Genomic DNA, 24,660 nt, shown 5'->3' on the forward strand with positions numbered 1-24,660 from the left:
GATTACTGGATCACCCCACAGAGTACAAATGTTCTAGGATCTCTTACCTTACAAAACATAAATCCTTTCCCCATTTCTTTATTTCCTTTGCAGTTAAAGTTCTTGAAAGATTGCTATACCTATACCTCCATTTCTTCACCTCCAATTTCCTCTTCAATCTGCTTTTTTCCCGACCAGTCGGCTGAAGTCCACTCAGCATGGTCATCACAATGTCAAATCTCAAGGCCTTTTTTCTGGATTTAACAGCAGCAGTCAATGGATATGGCTGACTACTTGCTCTTTTCTGCAACTCTTTTCCTCTGTGGCTCCTAACTTCTGGTTTCCTATGACCTCACTGGTCCCAATTCTGCCTACTTAGCTGGCTACTTCTCTACTTGACCTCTAAATGATGGCTTTCCTCAGGTCCCTCTCTATACTGTCTCCTTAGATTGGTCTCATTCAATCCCATGTCTTTCAATATCTCAATACTGCCAATTCCTGAATGTTTATCTTCAGCCCAGGCTGCTGCCTGAACTCCAGACTTGGAGGTACAACTGTCTGCCAGCTTGGCTAGTAGGCATCTCAAAACTCATGTCCAAAATGGAGCACATGACTCAAGTACTGAAATCGTGACCTCTTCCAGACCATCCCACCACAGTAGATGACACCACCTTCTACCCAGTTGCTCAAGTCAGAAACTGGGGAGTCCTATTTAGTTCTTTCTCTACACTCAATCCTTCAGAAAGACCTATGGATTCTGAGTCCATCTTCTTTCTTCTCTGCCAACACCCTAGTTCTCTGGACTGCTATAGTAGTCTCCCAACCGGTCTATTTTCTCTGGTACACCTTCAAAGTCAGGTCCAGCAATGATCTAACTTTGCCTGATTCTCTAGCCTCATCTTATACTACTCTCTTCATCACTCACTTTGCTCCAGCCACATTGGTTTCCTTTCTGTTCCTCAAACTACCACTTTGTTTTATGCCCCAGGGTCATTGTATTCACTGTTGTTTGCCTGGATTGCTGTCCCCGTGTCTTTGCAAGTGTGCTGTCAGGGAGAGATGGGGTGCTTTGCAAGTGAAGATTGTGCTAGAAACACAGGGTCTAGGCATCATTTCTCAGGATAAGGGTCCAAAGATGTGACTTCTTTTCCCAAGAAGCTGCAATGCCTCAACGTCCCCATGTGTCCAGTGAAAGCTCTCCAGACACAGTGGGGCCTCCTCTGGGGGCCTGTCCCTCATGCTAAATGCATGGGGACCCTCAATATGTTCTAACCCTGGCCCTGCCACTCACTTGGTGTGCCACTCTAAGCTTCAGGTCCCCTGGTATGTACCCCCCCCCAGCAGGATGTTAGGTGGTGCTGATACCTTGAGGCAGTATCCAGATGTGGCACTAAAGAATTCTCAATCATGCGGGAGGAAGTTCTGCCTTTCTCCAGCCCCTTTCAATCAGTCCTTCTGAATACATCAAGAAGAAAGTCTCCATTTGGGGCTGGCATGACTTTAACACCTAATATTTGCTTTTCCTCATTTTAACAAAGAGCTCAGTGCCTTCCCCAAGTATCCCTATCTGGGTTATTCAATCCTTTCTGCAGAAAGGAAGAGAAAGGAATGTGGGGGAAGGCTGAAGTATGCTCTGCTTTAACTGAAGCCTAGGGCCTGGCAAGAGACATCCTACCTCTAAAATTATCTTTGACCATGGGAAGTTGAGGGGATTAAATAAGATATACAACGCTTCTATATAATGCCTGGAATATAGTAACAAATCAATAAAAGGTTATAAATACCCAGAAGAAATTAGTTTATCAAAAACTTTTCAGGGGCTGGACAACTTTCCCTAAGGAAGGATCATGTAGTCCTCAACAAGTCCTATTTTAGAAACAAGAAAGTTGTAGATCAAAGCAACTTGCCCAAAGTCACTAAGCAAGTGATCACGCATACGTGTGTGATCCGACCCTCCCTTCATTTCCACTGCATCACATGGCCGTCTACAGAAGGGCTCACAGGCCTGACCCCAGCAAGGGGAAGCAGGTCCTCCCAGGCCCTTGTGCCCCAAGGCTCTGCTAAGCCAGCATATGGTCAGGATAGTTAACAGTGCAGAGGAAGCAGTATGGTATGGACACTAAGTGGCCTAAGAAGCTCCTAATGAGGTCTCAGCATTTGATTCTTCCCATTAAGTTGTTTTTCTTTTCCCCACAGCAAAATAAATCACGTTTTAGCCTCTAACTGGGTCTAGCCCTAAGGAAAAGTAGATGATGAATAAAGTTTACACGGGGGCTGGGTGCAGTGGCTCGCGCCTGTAATCTCAGCACTTTGGGAAGCCGAGGCAGACAGATCATTTGAGGTCAGGGGTTCCAAGACCATCCTAGTCAACATGGTGAAACCCTGTCTCTACAAAAATATAAAAATTAGCCGGGTGTGGTGGTGCACGCCTGTAATCCCAGCTACTCAGAAGGCTGAGGCAGAAGAATTGCTTGAACCCAGGAGGCAGAGGCTACAGTGAGCCGAGATCGTGCCATTGCACTCCAGCCTGAGTGACAGAGCAAGATTCTGTCTAAAAATAATAATAATAATAAAATTAAATTAAAAATTAAAAATAAAGTATACACAGATTGTTTACATGGCTTCTTTTTTGCAAACAAGTATCTGTGAATTAAACGGAGAGTGTTTAGACTGGGTAAGCATTCCAATTTGGAGTTTAAAGACTTTCCTACTTTCTCTTAAAGGATCATAGTGTTCCAGAATAAATATGAAAAGTGCAGTCTTTGAAAACATTCCCTCCCATGAAGGAAAGTAAGTGAAGGCAAGTTGCAGGTTTCTCCTCCCAAACACACTAACACATAATTTACACACTGGACTAAGCAAGCAGCAGACATTTAGAGAGAATCCAAGAATGCACCTCTTTCTCTTGCTTGGGCACTGCTGCTGCTTTGGTCAAAAGGCCGAGGGGAGCAGAAGTGAAAGGACTCTGGGCTCCAGGCAGGGCAGACCTAGCAGTTGCTCAGCTAGCAAGACCAAGCTCTTGGGTCATTTCAGTGGCCTCTTCCATCTCTCAAAGGTTTCTGCCTTCCCATACCCTCTCTAGTAGGGTTTAGCTTCCCTACCCTGAGGCAAAACAGCTGCTCTCTTCTCCAACCTATCCCCCCTCCCACCCCGAGCCTGGGAAGGAATAATTTGTTTTTCTGTGTATTAATCACCTGAAAGCAGATGGGAGCTAATCAGAACTCCATTCTGAACAGTGTTTGGCCAGGAGTGTTAAATAATGGGTACATTCCCAGTGTTTTTTAAACTTCAGGAAATTGATTTAGGACACAGCTGGCATTTTAAAAACTAAAATCCAGCGGAAGAAAACAGAAGTTACCAGAACACACTACATCATGACTCCACACACACATCCCTCTGTAAGAAAAGTTCCACAAAGCAATGCTTACCCTTCTTATAGTAGGTATATATAGGTGTGAAGTCAGGAGTGAATGACGAGGCCATGTAAATTTAGTTGGAACACAGGCTTTATGAGGTGTAAAGGAGGGAAAGGAAGTGGGGAGTTAGGTTCGGAGAGGATTATGGAATGCCTAGCATGTCAAATCAAAGAATTGGGCTTTATTCTCTTAAGCCATGGAAAACCACCAGAAAGTTTTAAGGGCAGAGAGGAATGGATGGTGAAACTAGTTTTTTAAAATATGGAGAAAGACCTGGAGAGGGAAGAGATTAAAAGTAGAGTGAAGTTAGGAGGCTGTTAAATAGTCTAAGAAACGATAGGGGGTGAACCAGAGTAATGGGGATGGAGATTTATAAAGATTAGGCTGGGTGCAGTGGCTCACATCTGTAATCCCAGTGCTTTGGCAGACCAAGGTGGGAGGATCACTTGAGGCCAAGAGTTCGAGACCAGCCTAGGCAACATGGCGAGACCCTGTCTCTACAAAAAATTTTGACAAAATTAGCTGGGTGCAGTGGTGCACCCCTCTAGTCCCAGCTAGTTGGGAGGCTGGGGTAAGAGGTTCACTTGAGCCCAGGAGTTCAAGTGAACTTACTGCAGTAAGCTACGATCGTGCCACTGTACTCCAGCCTAGGTGATGGAGCAAGACCCTGTCTCTGAAAAACAACAATAAAAAATTATAATAAAATTAAAAGATTTAGGATGTAGAAATGCCAGAACTTGGTGGCCATGTAGAGACAGGAGATAAAGAATGGCATAAAAATGATGCCCAGCTAAATGCAATGTTGTATCTTGGATTATATCCTAGAACAGAAGAAAATTAGTGGAAAAACTGGTAAAATCTGAATAAAGCCTGGAGCTTAGTAATACTAATACACCAACCAATGTTGGTTTCTCAGTTTTGACAAACATACTGTGGTATATAGAAGATGTTAACATTACAGAAACTGAATAAGGGGTATAAGGACACCATATTATCTTTGCAACTTTTCTGTAAAACCAAATTTATTCCAAAATAAAACATTTATTAAAAATAAATGATGCCTGGGTTTCTGACTTGGGCACTTGGGAAACCAGGTAGCTCTAATTCTCTAAGACAGAATGTCATAGAGGCGGTTTGGAGAGGGGCAGATGGTAAGGCTCAGCTTTAGACATACTGAGTTCGATGTCCCTAAATCTGGAGGGTGAGCTATCTAGGAATGAGTTGATTTGGAGCTCAGGAAAGAGATCCAGATTGGCAAAAAAACACTGAGAGTCAGGATGGGTTTGCAGGCTTGCCTGAGATTGCCCTGGGGACACTTACATTCAAAGGCAGAGAACCGTATGTCATCCCTGGTGAGGCCTGAATGCAGAATAACAAGTTTACCAATCATTATACACTTACTGAGCACTTACCACATGCCAAGCCCTGAACTAAATGTTTACCTATATTACTTCATGGAATTCTCATATCTACCACATAGAATAGGTGCTATTTCAGTCATTGTACAGATGGGAAAATCATGTAGCAGGATAGTCTGTGCTTTAGTAGCAGCACTCCACTGGGTAGGGCGTCAGAATCATCTGTGGCGCTTTTTTTTTTTTTTTTTTTTTTTTTTTGAGACAGAGTCTTGCTCTGTCAGCCAGGCTGGAGTGCAGTGGCATGATCTCGGCTCACTGCAACCTCCCTCTCCCGGGCTCAAGCAATTCTCCTGCCTCAGCCTCCCAAGTAGTTGGGTTTACAGGCGTGTGCCACCACGCCTGGCTAATTGTTATATATTTTTTTAGTAGAGATGGGGTTTCACCATGTTGGCCAGGCTGGTCTTGAACTCCTGACCTCAGGTGATCCGCCCGCCTCGGCGGGCGGCCAAAGTGCTGGGATTACAGGCATGAGCCACCGCACCCGGCCAACCTGTGGCACTTTTAAAATAGATGCCTTACACTCAGGAATCTAGCTAAAAGCTCAAACCTATGCATATTCATGGTGGTGTTGGAGGTTGAATCAACTGTAGTGACGTGAATCATCTCTTTTCTCCCATTTACTCAATGATTAGCTTTCTTCTTATGGTGTAAGGCATTTATCATTGGCGTATTAAATAGTGTATAAGACACCCAAATCTAATGTTAACCCAATACTTTAATATGAACGTTATGATCAGTAGGTAGTATCTTAGATGATACATTTAATCACAGACAAAACAAAAACCTATCTGTATATGATATTAAGAGGAGCACAGAATTGGATAAAGTAGGGTTTATCTTAGTCGGAGACCAAATGGTTTTGATATGTGGTTCCTAGACCAGCAGCATCAGTAGCAACTGGAAATGTGAGATGAACATTCTGAAACACACATCTGGTCAAGAACCACTGTTTTAATAGCTTTAACCACAAAACATCCACATTGTTCCCTAAAGTTATGCTAAGAGTAAAACGAGTAACTGGTTAACTGCCCATGATACATCAATTTAATGGAAAATTATGCAACTGTCAACAAGAATAAGCATATCTATATGTATTGATATAAAACAATCTCTAATATAGTGTTAAGTGAAATAAGCAATATGCAGAACTTAAAAATACTTTTTAGCCGGGCACGGTGGCTCACGCCTGTAATCCCAGCACTGGGAAGCCAAGGCAGGCAGACTGCTTGAGCCCAGGAGTTCAAGACCAACCTGAATGACATGGTGAGACCCTGTCTCTATGAAAAACACAAAAACTAGCTGGGCATTGGTGGTGTGCGCCTGTAATCCTAGCTACTCAGGAGGCTGAGATGGGAGGATCACTTGGGCCCGGGAGGCGGAGGTTGCAGTGAGCCAAGATTACGCCACAGCACTCCAGCCTGGGCTAGAGTGAGACCCTGTCTCTAAATAAATAAATAAATCTAAAAAATTTAAAGGGGGCATGTGTCTGTATGTATGTATACTTTACACAGTAACAGAATATCTCTTAAAAAACATAAGAAATTAGTAGCTGAAGTTTCCTCCAGGAAGGGAAGCAGGAAGCAGATGACTGGATTATAGGGATGGAAGAAACATTTTTCCTTCTTTTTTTGAGACGGAGTCTCACTCTGTTGCCAGGCTGGAGTACAGTGGCGCGATCTAGGCTCACTGCAACCTCTGCCTCCCGGGTTCGACCGATTCTCCTGTCTCAGCCTCCCCAGTAGCTGGGACTAGGGGTGCGTGCCACCACGCCCAGCTAATTTTTGTATTTTTAGTAGAGACGGGGTTTTACCATGTTGGTCAGGATGGTCTCGCTCTCTTGACCTCGTGATCCGCCCGCCTCGGCCTCCCAAAGTGCTGGGATTACAGGTATGAGCCACCACACCCAGCTCTGGAAGAAATATTTTTCACTACATGTTTTTGTACTGTTTGCATGTTACATTAAGTGCATGTATTATTAATTCAGGTTAATTAATTTAAAAATTTAAGTTTAAGGGCAAAAAGAACCACTACTTTAGAGAGAATGGAGATACTAGCAAGTAAAATATATGAAAGAGCTAGTTGGAAAGGAAGCCAAGCATGGAGTAGAACGTGGGGCCGTCAGCTGCTAAAGGGTACTGAGCGTTAATGGAGGGCGGAGCAGGAAGAAAAGTCAGACCTGGCAAAAAGATCATCTTCCCTCCATATCCTTTCTGAGGTAATATTAGGTAAACTGAGACCTGGACCAGAGGGCTCAATTATATCCATAGTCACCTTTATTCTGAATTAACCATTTATCAAGAGTGCGCCTGAAAAGAGTAGAAAAAAATAAAGGAGCCCATCAAAAAAAAGTTCCCTGGCAAGTGGGAGGGAGGACATGATGTTAGGAGCCCTGTTTGGGGAAGGAAATGTTATCCAGGTCATGGATGCCATTTTTGTCAATGATTCGAACACTGAAGGTTGGCAGATTCAGGATGAAGCGTTTCTGGAGCTGCAGAGAGACATGGAGGAAATCAGTCAACAAATGATTACTAAGTTCTATGTGCCAGGCTCTGTTCTAGACACTGGGGATACAAGCAAACAAAAATCCCTGCTTTTGTGGAACTGATATTCTACTGGAGGCAGTTGGCAGTAGGGCACTAGTACTCTAGTGGTAGAGGGTACCCAAACAGCAGCTGGAGGATGACTGGGAGGCAGGGAGGCTGAACTGGGAGGTGCAACTAAGAGCCTGTCTCTGGTCAGTCAGCTGACGAAAGAATGAGACAATCCAGTGTTCTGTTCCCCATAGTCTGTTACCCATCAGTCTGGTAAACACAGACGTCTCTCTTAAAATGTCTCAAGATAATAAGCTAACAAAGAGTGATTGTCCTCAGAACGAAGCAGAGGCCAGGAGCTGTGGCTCAGGCCTGTAATTGGGAGGTTGAGGTGGAAGAATATCTTGAGCCCAGGAGTTCAAGACCAGCCTAGGTAACATAGCAAGACCCCATCTCTTAAAAATAAAATGAGCTGGGCATGGTGGTGCCTGTCTGTAGTCTCAGCTACTTGGGAGGATCGCTTGAGTTCCAGAAATCCAGGCTGCAGTGAGCTATGATGGTGCCACTGCACTCCACTCCAGCCTGGGCAACAAAGTGAGATCCATCTCTTAAAAAAAAAAAAAAAAAGCGGGGGGTGGGGTGGGCACTGTGGACTGAAAACAAAAGGTTTGTGTAAGAAGCAAACTGACATTACTCCCAACGCTCCTGCTCTTATCTTCCTACTCTCTTACTAAACCACGAGGTCAAGTTCATCCTTAAGCCACAGGAACAGTAAAAGAATGAAAAAAACTAATGTGGCTGGTTTTTGACCTCCCCATTCCCCCATTCTCCATCTATACCCAAAGCCTTAGACTCTAAGGAGTAGTGTTAGAAAGGGTGTGTTCTGTAATCCTGTCCTCGCAAGCCAAAGTCTACTCTCCCCTTCTGCCCAAAGCTTCCTAGTTGCTTTCTATGGTCCTCCTGAATTCTTAGGGGAGGCTTTTTCTCACAGATTACAAAGACTCGAGCACTATTAAGGGAGCAGGCAGTATGGCAATTACAGGTGGCACAAGAACAGAGCAGGTATAAAGTCTAGGGCAGGGATGGGCGTGGTGGCTCATGCCTGTAATCCCAGCACTTTGGGAGGCCGAGGCAGGCGGATCACCTGAGGTCAGGAGTTCAAGACCAGCCTGGCCAACATGGTGAAACCCTGTCTCTACTAAAAATACAAAAAACTAGCCGGGCATGGTGGTGGGCAACTGTAATCCCAGCTACTCGGGAGGCTAAGGCAAGAGAATTGCTTGAACCCAGAGGCGGAGGTTGCAGTGAGCTGAAATCGTGCCACTGCACTCCAGCCTGGGCAACAAAAGCGAAACTCCGTCTCAAATAAAAAAATAAAGTCTAGAGCAGAAGTTCTTCAAGTACAGCCTCAGTTACCACCTGTAGGAAAATCACCTGGGACTGCCAGTTAAAGCAGAGCTTCCCAGTTTGTACCTCAGAACAGTGGACTCAGAATTGAGGGTTGGGGCAGAGATGGCAATCTGTTTAACAGGTTTCCCAGGTGATACTTACACACACTAAAATTTGAGAACCACTGGTTTGGATAAACCAGAAAGAATTAAATTATAAAACTGACATTGAGGAGGTAATCTGTGAGAGAAAAGTGAGCTTGCTATCCACACCAAACTCTATCCCTGGTAGCAACTTCACATCTGGTTAGTGGGTATGTATTACACCTTCTGGCAAAAATCTGAAAAAATATAACTGAGGAACAGGAACAACACTGGCAAACAGAGAGACAAACATTCCTTTCAGGATCCTATGGGAACTACTCACCTCCTCCAGACATTTCCTAAGGAGTTCCACTGCCCTCTCACGTGAGATAGCTGAAAGAGAACACAGAGACCAAATACTTCCGGTGCTGTCATTATATCCAACTCTCAGAAGCTTTTGATTAAGTTCCAAATCTGGCTTCTTCAGGTCTCAGTGCCACACAAACGTAAAAGGCAAAAAATGCTTTGCCTTCTAGCCTGCAATCAACTTACTCCACATGCAGCTGGGGGGGCCCCAGACCCAGTGCTCCAGCAGCTATAAGCCATTGCAAATTGATTTGCTACAGTAAAGGGTGAGCATGAAGGAATTCTGCCTCCCCTGGCCAGGGCCCACCTCTGAAGAAGTCCAGCAGCCTGTCTCTCTTTATCATAACCCACCCCTTTCACTCCCCCTTAGTCCAGGGTTTGAATCAATTCCATCTGCCCCAGTCAGCTGCAAATCAGGGAAAGAGACGATGGGGTCAGAATTTCAGCCTTGTTTTCCCAGCTGGGTCTCTGTTTAACAATGGGAAGAGAATTCATAGGATGGGGCTGAGACTCTCCCCAAATAGGAGCCAAAGGAACTGTCTGTGGGCGTGGCAAACTGGGACGACATGTTATGCACTCAGGCTTCAGGGGTGGCTAGTAGTTATTTTGGTGGGCAAATCAGCTGTATTACTGACAGATGCCAAATCAAGAAAGTCACTGGGAGGCCAGGCTAATTCTTTTCAGGATGTGGCCTGGAGCTCTAGCGTGGCTAAGGTTGAGCGAGAGGGCAGCACCAAAAAAGAATGAACATGCCAGATTCTTACGATACTGACAGTGAAGAATGGAATGTAAGGAGAGAAGTGGTTATCTGTGCTTCATCTATAGTCTGTAAAAGCTAAGAATTCCAAAGTACCCACTGCCCACAGAGGCTAAAGTCGAGGTTAGGACTGGGGTCAGAAGATGGAACTTAGCACAAAAGCATCCCTGTGTCTAGGAAGTCCTAACCAGAGCACTTAGGCAAGGGGAGGAAATAGAGTACCCCAATTGGAAAGCAGGAAGTCAAATGTCCCTATTTGCAGATGACATGATCTTCTATATAGAAAAACCTAAAGACCCCACCAGAAAACTCTCACATCTGATAAATGAATTCCATAAAGTTGCAGGATACAAAATTAATATACAAAAATCAGTATTTCTATACACAAACTAGCTGAAAAAGAAATCAAGAAGGCAATCCCATTTACAATAGACACAAAAATCAAAGAAAATAAAATACCTAGGAATAAATTTAACCAAGGAGATGAAAGACCTCTATAACGAAAACTATAAAACACTGATGAAATAAGCTGAAGAGGATACAAGCGAATGGAAATACATCTCATGCTCATGGATCAGAAGAATTAATATTATGAAGATGACAACACTACCCAAAGAAATTTATATATTCAATGCAATCCCTATCAAAATGCCAATGACATGCCTCACAGAATTATGGAAAAAAATCCTAAGATTTGTAAGGAACCACAAAAGACTCTGAATAGCTAAAGCAATCCTGAACAAAAAGAACAAATCTGGTAGTTGATACCACTACCAGACTTCAAAATATATCACAAAGTTGTAGTAACCAAAACAGTATGCTACTGGCATAAAAATAGACACATAGACCAATTAAACAGAATAGAGAAATTAAGAAATTAAGCCACATATCTACATTTGACTTTTGATGAAGGTACCAAGAACACTCATTGGGGAAAGGACAGTCTGTCTCTTCAATAAATGGTGCTAGAAAAACTGGATATCCATACACAGAAGAATGAAACCAGACCCTCACCTCTTACCCTATACAAAATTCAACTCAAAATGGATCAAAGACCTCAATTTAAGACCAGAAACTAGAAGAAAACACAGGGAAAAAGCCTCAGGACACTGATCTGGAAAAAGATTTTATGAATAATCTCATGAACACAGGCAACAAAAGCAAAAATAAACAAACAGGATTACATCAAACTAAAATGCTTCTGCACAGCAAAGGAAACAAGAGTGAAAAGGCAACCTACAGAATGGGAGAAAATACATGCAAACTACTCATCCAACAGGGAGTTAATATCCAGAAAATATAAGGAACCGAAATATCTCAATAGAGAACAAAAATTCATTAAAAAATGGGCATATCATCTCAACAGACATTTCAAAAGACATACAAATGGCCAACAAATATATGGAAAAAATTCTCAACATCACTAATCATCACAGAAATGCAAATCAAAACCACAATGAGGTAACACCTCATCCCAGTTAGGAATAGCTATTATCAAAAAGACAAAAAACAACAAATGCTGGCAAGGATGTAGAGAAAAGGAAATTCTTTATACACTGTTGGTAGGAATGCAAACTAGTATAGCCACTAGGGAGGACAGTATGGCGGTCCCTCAAAAAACTACAAATAGAACTACCATATGATCTGGCAATCCCACTACTGGGAATTTATCCAAAAGAAAGGAAATCATTATATTGGATGAAATCATTATATCACTGGGGAAATATTGCACCCCAGTGTTTACTGCAACACTATTCACAATAGCCAAGATATGGAACCAACCTAGGTGTCCGAGAACAGATCAATGGATAAAGAAAATGTGGTATATATACACCATGAAATACTATTCATCCATAAAAAAGGAAATACTGTCATTCAACATGAATGGAACTGGACGGTATTCTGCTAAGTGAAATAAGCCAAGAACAAAGTTAAAACACTGCACGTTCTCACTCATATGTAGAAGCTAAAAAAGCTGATCTCATAGAAGTAAAAAGTAGAATAGAGGATACTAGAGGCTGAGAAATCCTCTGTAAGGGATGGGGGACATTTGTTAAAAGATACGAAATTGGCAGGACACGGTGGCTCACGCCTGTAATCCCAACACTTTGGGAGGGCAAGGCGGGTGGATCACTTGAAGTCAGGAGTTCTGGACCAGCCTGGCCAACATGGTGAAACCCCATCTCTACAAAAAATACAAAAACTAGCCAGGCGTGGTGGCACACGCCTGTAATCCCATCTACTTGGGAGGCTGAGGCACGAGAATTGCTTGAACCTGGGAGGCGGAGGTTGCTGTGAGCCGAGATCACTCCACTGCACTCCAGCCTGGGCGACAGAGGGAGACTCTGCCTCAAAAAAAAAAAAAAGATAGAAAATTATGGATAGACAGAGGAATAAGTTCTATTGTTCTATACCACTGTAAAATTACTATGGCTAACAATATATAGTTTCAAATAGCTAGAAGGAGGATACTAAATGTTCCCAACACAAAATGATAAATGTTTGAGATGATCAATATACTAACTACCATGATCTGTTTACATTACATGTATTGAAACATCATGATGTACTCTATGAATATATGTACAATTATTATTTGTCAATTAAAAAATAAAATTTTAAAAAAGCATCCCTGTATCTGAAGTTTTGCCAAACTGACGCTTTACGGACAAGTAGAGCGACGGCTTTTTCTTTCAAGAGGAGGCAGCCATTAGGTGACAACCAAGGGAAGGCTCAGATTTGTAGCCTTAGAAAGCTTTGATGTTTAAGCAAAGAAACCTTCAGTTGTCATGCTGGGGACCTGTTCATCCTTGCAAGTTCCAAACAAATATACAGCTACTTGCTTTACCCACTCATTCTTTACTGAGATGCCAAAAATCTAGGCAAAGCAAAATAAGTGAAAAAACTTGAACTCTTAGAAATGAAGGATTTTAGAACCCAATAAAAATGTTTTATTCACTGTGACATCTATTCCAATCCTCCTTCAAAACAAAACCCAGCTCTAGAGATATGTACTATCTCATTTTGAATGGCAAAAAATAGAACTTACATCAGCTTTTGGAAGACCCTACTGACTGACAGAAGAGTGCAGCTTCCAGAGGGGAACCTGGTTATGCTTCTTAGGATCCATCCTATTCAAGCCCTGGCCACCCAACTCCAAGAGTGGACAAACCTGGGAAGCAGCTGAGGGCAGGGCTCTGCCACTGCTCCCTCCCTAGAGTATTAATACTTACTCGGTGTGTAGTATCGGTCGAGGATACTGAGAGTCAGGAAGGCACCATAGCCGTGGGCTGCAAAAGGGGCCTTGGCCAAGGCTGCCAGGTAGTCCATGTAATACAGCGCTGGCCCTTCATGCTCATCATAGCCAGCCAGGAGGAGGTTCACATGATATGGGGTCTGCAAAGAAAAGATATGGCAAAGTGATAACTAAAGCAGAACACCAACATCTCTTCCCATGGCAAATGAGAATATTCTGACTCTTCATGAGAAAGAAAATATTAGCAGCAACTGAGTAAATCACAATGAAAGTAAAAATGTAGGGAAATCTAGAGGACCTGGAGTATGGTAACAGGTCAAGGGACGTCAGCTTGTTCTCTTTGAAAGGAAGGGCATTTGGAGCACTTTAAGGTATATGAAAAAGCTGCCATCTTCTTAAAGTCTATGGATGAGAACCTGTATAAAAGCACTTCTTCAAAAAGTATTTGATAGCAAAACAGAGTGACTATAGTTAATAATAGCTTAACTGTATATTTTAAAATAACTAAAAGAGTATAATTGGGTTGTCTGTCACACAAAGGAGAAATGATTGAGGTGAGAGATACCCCATTTACCCTGATGTGATTATTACACATTGTATGCCTGTATCAAAATATCCCATATACCCAATATATATATACACACATACGATGAACGCACAAAAATTTAAAATAAAAAAAAATTTTGCAAGCACTGCAAAGGCAAAGCATAGGTGCTCTTTTGTCATTCCTAATTGTTGAAACCAACGAACAATTCTGAGAATGCCAGGCCACTGACTGAAAAAAGCAGATGCTCCAACCACATCAAATGAAATAAACAAACTCAGTCTGGGCATCTGGACCAATCCCAAATGGTAAACTGCATGCCCACTACTAAAGAAACAACTTATAGCTGGGCACAGTAGCTCACAGGTATAATCTCAGCACTTTGGGAAGCTGAGGTGGGAGGCTTGCTTGAGCCCAGGAGTTTCAGACCAGCCTAGGTAACACAGTGGGACTTGGTTTCTACAAAAAAACTAAAAAATTAGCCGGGCATGATGGCGCGCACCTGTGGTCCCAGCTACTCAGGAGGCTAAGGTGGGAGGATCACTTGAACCAAGGAGGTCAGGGCTACCATGAGCCATGACTGTGCCACTGAACTCCAGCCTGGGTTCAAAAAAAAAGAGAAAGAGAGAGAAAAGAAACAACTCATGAGGTAGGGAGGGATAGTAAGTCTCTTTCTTTGTTGTTGTTTTTTTGTTTTTTTGAGACGGAGTCTGGCTCTTGTCCCCCAGGCTGGAGAGCAATGGTGCGATCTTGGCTCACCGCAACCTCTACCTCCCAGGTTCAAGCGATTCTCCTGCCTCAGCCTCCCAAGTAGCTGGGATGACAGGCGCCCTCCACCACACCCGGCTAATTTTCGTATTTTTAGTAGAGACAGGGCTTCATCATGTTGGCCAGGTTGGTCTCGAACTCCTGACCTCGTGATCCGCCCGCCTCGGCCTCCCAAAGTGCTGGGATTACAGGCGTGAGCCACTGCGCCCGGCCATAAGTCTCAAATATTTAAATCAAATCACCAGACTTAACTGAAAAGTAATTTTGAGACAAATAAAAAGCAACAAAAAATAATTATAACTTGGATTTATAGGTATCCTTTCTTTGTATTACCTGCAAATCTAAAAACATAAGTTTTATAGAGAACCATGACTGAGTCTGCGTTGCTCTTCATCTCCAAATGGATGATTTTTTTTTTCTACACCAGCTGCGCCATTTACCATGTTAAATTCAGTCTGTCTATGCCCCCAGGCATCAGGGGTGGGACTTCCATTTTATATGGCTTTCTTTTTCTCTGCAGGATGTGTTTCTCCTCTTGCCTTTGCTTCAGCGGGTAGTAAGCAGGCCTTGCCCATGGATATGTCCCCATCCCTAAATTTGTCTATGTATTTAATTAAACGCACAGTAAGTGAGACACCTCATTATGAAGCATGAAGTGTAATAGCTAATGGTCCTAAAAGTGGCATTTAACATTCTTTGAACACTGATTAACACGGCCACTTGGCAGCCTTAAAAAACTCATGGTTTTTGCTTTTTTTGGGGGGAGGGGTTGGGAGGGGAGTAACAGGCTTTTGTTCTGTCGCCCAGGCTGGAGTGCAGTGGTGCAATCATAGCTCGCTGCAGCCTCAAACTCCTAGGCTCAAGTGAATTTCCCACCTCAGCCTCCTGAGCAGCTACGACTATAGGCACCTACCACCATGCCCTGCTGATTTATTATTATTTTTTTAAGAGATGAAGTCTTGGCCGGGCACGGTGGCTCATGCCTGTAATCCCAGCACTTTGGGAGGCCGAGGCGGGCAGATTACTTGAGGTTAGGAGTTTGAGACCAGCCTGGCCAACATGGTGAAATATTGTCTCTACGAAAAATACAAAAATTAGCCATGCGTGGTGGCACGAGCCTATAATCCCAGCTACTTGGGAGGCTGAGGCATGAGAATCGCCTGAACCTGGGAGGCAGAGGCTGCAGTGAGCCGAGATAGTGCTACTGCACCACTCCAGCCTGGGCAATAGAGCAAGACTCTATCTCCAAAAAAAAAAGGAGAGAGAGAGAGAGAGAGATGGGGTCTCACTATGTTGCCCAGGCTGGCCTTCAACTTCTAGGCTCAAGTAATCCTTCCACCTTGGCCTCCCAAAGTGCTGGGATGACAGTCTTGAGCCACCGTGCCTAGCATGAAACTCATATTATATACTTACTTGGAATTCTAAGCCAGCTGTGCTAAGTAGAAAGGGTTCCTAACATCGCCTGGAGATTACAGAGTAGTCCTCACCTCCAAATAAGTTTCTGTTTTAGTGATAGGACAGTGGGTAGTCCCAGAGAGAAATAAGTTGACCAGCAGTCAAGACTTCTGAGAAAATAATTATCTGCCTATTGTATTTCCCAATGAGTAGCGTGCGGCACTCTGCCAAGCTCTGGAATTCTCTGTGCATTCTGAGTACCTTCTTAGTAAAGCTGACCTTAGGCAAAAAACTTAACCCCTATGAGCTTCTGGGTTTTTTTTTTTTTAACATGTAAAACTGGGTTAATTAATCTTTCTCCTTTCTATCTTCTAGGAAATATAATGAGAAAAAATAATAACGGTAAAACAACCCAAACTCTGGAAGAAAAGATGCTACCAAAATTCCTACTACATAACTACATCCCAGTCTCTTTTTGAAAGCTTATCACTTTAAACAACAACAAACCTGCTTAAATTAGCTACAGATTTTAAAAATGCTATTAGTTATATATAAGTGTGAAAACAGTACTGCAAAATCTGGCAGACATAGAATACCTTGGTGTTCTTACAGTTAAAATTAGAAGAGAGAAAGAGGGAGGAAAAGAGGCAGAATAGCAAAGAGAAACTGGTATCCCTCCCCAAGAGAATTAATAATACAGTCTTTTACCTATCACAAAGTAAGTTAAATCTTTTTGCTAAGAGGATAATCTCTACTCTTCTCTACTAACTAGCCAGAACACTCACTGTATACTTAGCCAAGACAATTTCATCAAGTTGCAATGGTATATTAAGTATTCCCCCAGATACTCAAAGAGGCCTTGTTAGAACCCAGATGTTTTGTCTTCAATGAAGATCTTGTCCATACTATGAGATTAAATTGTTTAGAACAATAAATGTTATTTAAAATCCACTACCAGAAAATTTTAGATGAAATAGGATGTCAACAGAATTTCAGAAGCAAACTCCATCACTTAATTGGTCTATATAGTATCATTTACTCATGCTTAGGCATCTGACGCACACATATACTTACCAAAGTTGGTATTCAGAAGCTACAACTCCTGGTATTGAAGATAACTCACAAATTATTGTGTGACTTTGAATTACCAACTTTTGCATGTGTGAGATGCTTAAGCATAAATAAATGGTGTTATCTAGACTAATTAAATCAATACATCTGTGCAACAACTTGCAGTTTGTAAAATTCTTCTGACAATGCTCCACCAAAGATCTCTGGCTTGGCTGAGCACAGTGGCCCATGCCTGTAATCCCGCACTTTGGGAGGCCAAGGTGAGAGGACTGCTTGAGCCTAGGAGTTCAAGACCAGTGTAGGCAAGATGGCAAGACCCTGTCTCTATGGGAAAAAAAAAAAAAAATCTAGGTTAGGGGGCTACTTGGAAGGCTGAGGCAGGAGGATCCTTAAGCCCCGGCATACAGTGAACTATGATCCCCCCACTGTACTACAGACTGACTAGCAACAGAGTAAGACCCTATTTCTACCAAATAAAAAGAAAAGTCACTAAACAAATGTGAGAAAGCAATAAGTGCTACTTCTGAGAAGTGGTTCAAGTTTAAGTCAACTGCCAGCATCTCCATGAATGTACATCTATTGTTGCTTTTTGCTAGGCTTGGGTCCTTCTCTTTCTACCTCCCTCTAGACACAGGGTGCTAAGTAAAGAAAAGCTTAGGATACAGGCCAGGCATTCAGAACTGAACAAAGAGGAGACCAATAGCATAAATAAATAAGAAAGAGTTGGGCTGTGACTTTAGAAAAGTTAGTCATTTAATCTCTCTGAATTTTAATTTCTCATTTAAAACATGGGATGATCCCTACTACAAAAGGGTTGCTGCAGTGAGGATTCCAAAAGATAATGCATGTGGATAATAAGTGTAATGCCCGAAACAGTAAAGACTCTATAAACAATGCAAGTACTCAGGAGAAGCCCAACTACTTCTGGCACTGAGATACGAGGGAAATTCCTATGTGTCTTCATAAAGGGATATGGAAGGATGTTAGTGCCCAGCACAGTGCCTGACACATGGTAGAAAAGCAGTCAGTAAATGAGTTTCCTCCTCTCTCATTCCTGGGACTCTTTCCAGGGGCCCTAGGGTAATGGTGTTCAGTGTCACAAGCATTTGTACTAGACACGTAGAGCATATCTACTTCATGGTCAACCCTCCCTAACCATGTCATTTCTTCCCTTCCAAATGTGTCTACTCTGAGTGGTAAAGCTACTTTCTAGACAGTTTTTCATCAGTTCCCTTAGTTCCCCATGATGTTACATACTTAAGGATTTGCCTAATTATCTGGGGAAATGAAAACATTAATCAATAATGAGAGCACTGCCAGTGATCCTCTTGACAAAGAATCTCTTACAAAGTAATCCTTCGCAAAGATTACCAAGAATCTTTTAAAATGAAATCTCTATTCTGTACATGATATAATCTAGCCTTTGGTTGTCTCCACTATTCTAATTGTTTAGATAGTAAGTCTAAGTAGTAAGACAAAGTTTTGAGGTCCCCAAGGGGAAGAACTGCAACATACAAGACTAGGCTTCTTCCACACCATAAGCTAAGACTGAACATTATATATAGTATTGAATTAACCTAAATATCCAAACATTCATCCAAGTGAACCCAAACATTTAGCTAAGATACTCTCTACCCAAAGGTCTTGGCAATCACCATCAATGGTCTGCAATGCAAACACCAACATGTTTAAAGTTGTGTCTAATTGATATACAAAGAAAAAATTTTAAATGAACCAGCCTGGGAATTCAGAATGAACTTCAGCTTCTAGCATGAGGTACCACCAAAATTTTGCCTCTTAATAGAAGGCAGTGAGGGTGGGGTGAGGACGAAACTAGACAAATGTATCTTTTCCTCCTTTAATGAGTACATGAGTTTATTTTCACAGTGAAGTGCATTTAGGTCATTTTGAGATTTCTTCATCTGTATAATAAGGATAATAAAAGTACCCATCATTATAAGGTTGTGGTAAGGTTTAGATAAATACATGTAAAGTGCTCAGTGCAATGCCTGATATATTGTAATAATGCAGATTGACTATTACCACAACACTACCACCACCACTTTTAGGATTTGACTGCATTATCAACAGATTTGACTAGATAGTAAGATCAAGAAGTGGGCTACAGAGAGCCAATAAAATTGTCCAACTTTTGTTGGTTACTAAAAGATCAAATTTAAGAAGACAGGGGAATTGGCTGATAAGCACATCTCTTATGTACTTCTTTCCGAGACTGAAATAGACTTCTTAAAAACTTCTGAGCATCTGAGTCCCACAGAACTGAGCTCAGTGCCACTTTGGACTCTTCTACATTTGGGGGTGGCGAGTGTGCACTGCACACAGGCAAACTTTACTTAAGTTAGATTAAGTGTTCCCTTCCCTCCAACTCTTGTGCATATGACTCCTTGTATATTCCCTCTCTTATGAAAAAGAAACACTGTAGTAACTAAGAGCGTGAAATTCCATAAATTTTACAGCTAAAGAGAATGGTTGTGATAAATACACTGAAACAACAAAATCAGCGACAAGAGTCTGAGCGGTGACAAGCAGCGGTGTGACATCTGGCGGAAGCTAAAGTCACAGCAAGGGGGAGAGAGGTGGGCGTGAGGAAGCATCCTGCCAAGCGTGGACACAGAAAAAGAGAGGAATTGACAGTCTTCCTTTGGAGCCAGGCCAGCCTTTGCCACCTCTAATTGAATGGGACGACACTGCTATGAGTGAGGTGCTTTGGAGAATGGTGCAATTTCTTTTTTGATGTGTTGCACCTTGGAATGCTAAGCAGTGTGTGAGGTCAGTAATTTGGAAGAAGATGCAGAACCACCAATGAGACAAATGAGTTTGTCTAGAGATGAGTGTTTTCATAAACAGACTTCTAAATATACTAAACAGAGACTGGACTTTGAAAGGAACAGTACATCTGCTATTTCTTTTAGTCCAGGGGATTGTCAAAACTGCCTAAAATTCCATCTTTAGCACTGAGAGGATTTCATGAAAATGCAATTTACAGACTTAGATAGGATAGAAAACCTCAACTAGTTTACCCAGTATCCCTTTTACAAATGTGGGGACTAAACTTCAAAGAGGAAACAGTAACTTGCCCTAAACCACACAGGTAATTAGCATCAAGGGTCAGGTCCAGAATTCAGGCCTCCCAACTGCAAGTCCTACATGCTTTTCCAGGAAATCATGCTGCCTCCACAAAATGGAAATTAGTGTAAAAATATGATTTGGTATGTAAATGCAGTTTCACACTCATATATTTCAGAATGCACTATTTTGCATACTAGCATCTACTGCTCTCTATTTCACTTATCACATCTTTATATGACCAATAACATTTTAAGGATTTTGTTTGTTTATTTTGGGAGACAAGGTCTTGCTATTTTGCCCAAGCAAGTGCAGTGGCTATCCACAGGTGCAATCACAGCACACTATAGCCTCAAACTCCTGGGCTCAAGGGAATCCTACCTTAGCTTCCCAAGTAGCTGGGACTACAGGTGGGTGCCTCCATGTCTACCTAATATTTTAAGTTTTAAAACAGCAAGTTTAAAATATCATACAATTACGACTCCTCTATAGGATCTAAAACTATGTGGTAGTTCAATAAATACCCATGATGATAGATTACCAACACCTTAACTGCTTTGCCAATCCCCAATTTTTCAATTTCACTAATAAATAAAATGAATCAATTGTTATTTTCTTACACTAATGTTCTGAACTCTGGACTTTGTTTGCCATAACTAAAAAAATTCACTAGCTATCTTTTTTGGGTGGGTTTGGTGGTATAATTTTAAAATCTCAATTTCAATTTTGCTATTTTAATTAAAGAAGGACTTCATATGTGAATTGGAATCCACTATTTCAAACACCTAAAAAAATCTCAAAGATTTCAGCAACTTCCAATTATTGTGACCTAGTACCTTTCCTAGCTCTAAAAGACTATGGTTCTATGGATGGGGAAGCGGGTAGAGAACTACCTAAGCAATATGGAATCATTTATACCCTGACTTTTTTTTTGAGACAGAGTTTTGTTCTGTTGCCCAGGCTAGAGTACAGTGGCATGATCTCGGCTCACTGCAACCTCCACCTCCCGGGTTCAAGTGGTTTTCCTGCCTCAGCCTCTGGAGTAGCTGGTATAACAGGCGCACGCCACCACGCCAGGCTAATTTTGTATTTTTAGTAGAGACAGGGTTTCACCGTGTTGGCCTGGCTGGTCTCGAACTCCTGACCTCAAGTGATCCATCTACCTCGGCCTCCCAAAGTGCTGGGATTACCGGCATGACCCATCATGCCCGGCCTTGTACCCTGACTTTAATCCTCTTGGCTATATTCCTTTTTAAGGAAACCCATGTGTAGATTCAATCTCTTTTAGCTTTAAGTAAAAAATACACAGTTTATAAAAGCCTTCAACCAAATTCCATGAGTTCCCTGGGACTACAACATAGAATAATTATTAAATGGGCAGATGTCCCAACTAACTTCATTTCCACATTTGGAATGTGAATAAGTTCAATAAATGTTTATTTAGCATTTATTGTATGAGAAGCATCATGCGACATGATGAAGATGGGAGTCTGGATCTGGAAGGCACTCATAAGGTAGATGTGGATAGGAAGGACTCCAGATAGAGGAAACAGTATACGTGAAGACAAAGAAACAGAGGAATATGGAATGTCTGGATACTGGTGAACATGGGACACATACACCTGGAGAATTAGGTGACTTCAGCAGGAAGTAGGGAGAGAAACTGGGATGACACTGTCACTGGCCTCCTAAAGAATATTTACATTAGTATGTAAACCATACAGCAACCAGTGAACATTTGCCACTTCCATCCCTCTGCTGATCCAAGCCTTTTTTCATGACATAGCACATTGGTTAATTGGTGCCAAGGAACCCTGATGTCCCAGCCATTTTCCCTGCTTCTCTTAAATAGAAGACTTTTAGAAAGGAAATACAAAACAGATTGCCATTTTAGGATGGTAATTGACAGTTACATGAAAGATAGACCGGGATTAGGACTGAGAGGAAGGGCGGATGGTTAGAGGATCTACAATAGTCTACTCTAGACAGACGATGAGGACCAAACTAAGGAAAAAGTAGAGGGGGCGGAGAGAGAGGTATGAAATATGAGATATATTTAGAAGGTAGAAATGATGGAACTTCATAACAGTAGAAGAGGTGAGGGAGAAAGAAGAGTGAGGACTCTCAATAAGGGGGACAGTGGCAGTCCAACTGAAAAGAGCTCAATTTGGACCTAATGAGCTTAAGCACAGTTGTCCAAAGACAGATGGGAAGAGAAAATAGTGTATAACCCAGGTCATGAGACTGAATGAAGAGCCAGCCAGTGAAGAGTTTCATTCATATGAACACATACAGTCTCACACTCGCACATGGAAGAAAGTAAAGAAAATGATTACAACGGGACACTATGGCAAAGGTATACCTAAGTTGCCATAAGAAATTGAGGGTGACATATGTGGTGGGGGGTGGGGGAGCAAATACAGAAAAAACTTCCCTGATAAACGCTGAGTTTAACTGGAACTGAAGAGCGAGCCACGTTAGGATGTTGGTGCATTCAAGGGGGAAGACTAGCAAAGTGCTGGAATGACAAAAGCAGAGGTGCGAGAGAGAACCCAGGGCCGGTTAGGGTCCTGTTATCTACAGTTGCCACTCAGAGTGGAGAAGGTATGGAATTGGAAGTTGAAAACAATTTTCTCTTAATCTTGTGACGGAAAAAAAGTACAAATGTAAACTGATCAAAATCAGAATACTATAATGAGCTTCACAAACAAAAAGTTAAACACCTGACTTTCTTGTTCTTTCCTGTTCCAAATGCATTTATTTTTTGTAGCACTAAAAAACAAACTGGCCCACGTTTATAAATTCTCATACTATACTGGGAAATAAGGAGGCAAGTGTGCCTCAAACAAAGCAAACCTTTCACTTCCAGAGGACCAAGACAAAATAAAAGAAACACTGCTCTGAAAATGAGACTGTCTAAACAATTTTTTCCTTTTTCTTTTCCTTGCCTTAGGTCATTCTCCGAAAGTATATTTGGTATACCTGTTTGATGCTGGCAGATCCAAAATAAAAATATAAAAATTGTCTTTGTTTTCCTTTAATAACAATTAGCTCATGTTCAAATGTTTTTGCTTAATACACTGGTAAAAACTCATATAACGGTTGAGTTCTTGAACTTAAGCTCAGGAATGTTGCTGCATTTACAACCAATATTTTAAACTTTAAAAGAAAAACATCCTTTAAATTACTACTTGGATAAACTCTGCTTTTAAATGCCATAAGTCATATAAGATAGGCATGTACTTCTGTGACAAAGCAATGAAAATCGAATGTGGCTTTATCACCTTACAGTTGTGTTACTTGAGATAGGCCACTTGGAGTCTTGAGTGCCCCATCTGTAATGTGGAGGACAGTACTGCTTGCTTGACAGAGCTGTGAGGAATTCAAGTGCTCACTCGTGTTAAAGTTCCTGGAAGAAGACTTGCTAAGTAGTAGGTGCCCAATAAATGTGAATTTTACAACCAAAAAAATTTAAATATTGTGTATATTTCAATTTTTAACTAAATTAGATTTTAAAGGTCTCCTCAGTAATTCCAAAGTTACTATAAATTTTACTTCTCTAAAGCTATCAATGACTCCAAGTTTGATTGGTTTTCCTATTACAGTTGTAACTTATCGTAATTAGAAGTTTAGAAATTTAATGAGTTGAAATGCAACATGGCACAGATGCCTTATTATACCAAATAGTTAACACAGTATTTGTTTTCTACATTAATTTTACTTGCTAATCAAAAATACTGCTTCCCCCCAAATAACGTCAAAATAAAATTGCTGATTGTGCAATGATAAAACCAACACCATGTTTGCAACAAGGACACTTGAATTCTTTTTTTTTCATGAGCTGGCAGATTCTAGGAAAATTTAAGATTCCATATACCGTTAAGTCAGTTTTTAAAAATCTCAAATGCAGAAACCATGCTTTGCTACACGCTTGCACACTACAAGGCATATATTAAGTTGTGCATGCTAAGCATGCCCATGAATATCTAATCTATGAATTCTGAACATCAAAGCTGATTCATCTCTCTGAGCTAATAAATAAGATGGTCTTCTAGAAAAGAGTAGTTAGGACTATATATGATGGTATATGTTTTCAGATATCCATAGAGTATTAAGGAAATTCTGAGGAAAAGACTATTTAGGAGCCCTTCTATTAGAACCATGTTCCCCATTAGCACCCCAGATCCAACAAAAGTTATTGCTACGGCTTTAACTGACATGCAGGCCCCTCATTGGTCTCCCCGCTTCCTTCATTCTTTCCCCAAATGCTCCATCAAAGAACAGCCAACGAGCTAATGATCTTACCAATCTCATCTGATCATGCTAACACCCTCTTAGCCAACAGGCTTCCAGAGAGGCCCACTGCTTGTATTTATTTATTTATTTAGAGACAGAGTCTCGCTCTGTCACCCAGGCTGGAGTGCAGTGGCACAATCTTGGCTCATTAAAACCTCTGCCTCCTCGGGTGCCTGTAGTCCCAGCTACTCAGGAGGCTGAGGCAGGAGAATGGCGTGAACCCGGGAGGCAGAGCTTGCAGTGAGCCAAGACTGCGCCACTGCACTCCAGCCTGGGCGACAAGGCAAGACTGTCTCAAAAAAAA

At 41.8% G+C, this 24,660-nt stretch overlaps 1 protein-coding gene across 3 annotated transcripts in view; it reads right to left on the reverse strand.

Moving 5' to 3' along the window:
* Window positions 1-3,467: 3,467 nt before the first annotated feature.
* Window positions 3,468-24,660, reverse strand: part of PSMB2 (proteasome 20S subunit beta 2) — a 41,986-nt gene continuing 20,793 nt past the window's right edge. For all 3 annotated transcript variants that reach the window (NM_001199779.2, NM_002794.5, NM_001199780.2), the window contains 3 exons: window positions 13,173-13,335; window positions 9,160-9,209; window positions 3,468-7,301 (listed from right to left, as the gene is read on the reverse strand). In NM_001199779.2, coding sequence (NP_001186708.1) covers window positions 7,194-7,301; window positions 9,160-9,209; window positions 13,173-13,335 — 321 coding nt within the window. In that variant the 3' untranslated portion in view covers window positions 3,468-7,193. The remainder of the gene's footprint in view (window positions 7,302-9,159; window positions 9,210-13,172; window positions 13,336-24,660) is intronic.

This window comes from Homo sapiens, chromosome 1, assembly GCF_000001405.40.
Source record: "Homo sapiens chromosome 1, GRCh38.p14 Primary Assembly".
NCBI lineage: Eukaryota > Metazoa > Chordata > Mammalia > Primates > Hominidae > Homo > Homo sapiens.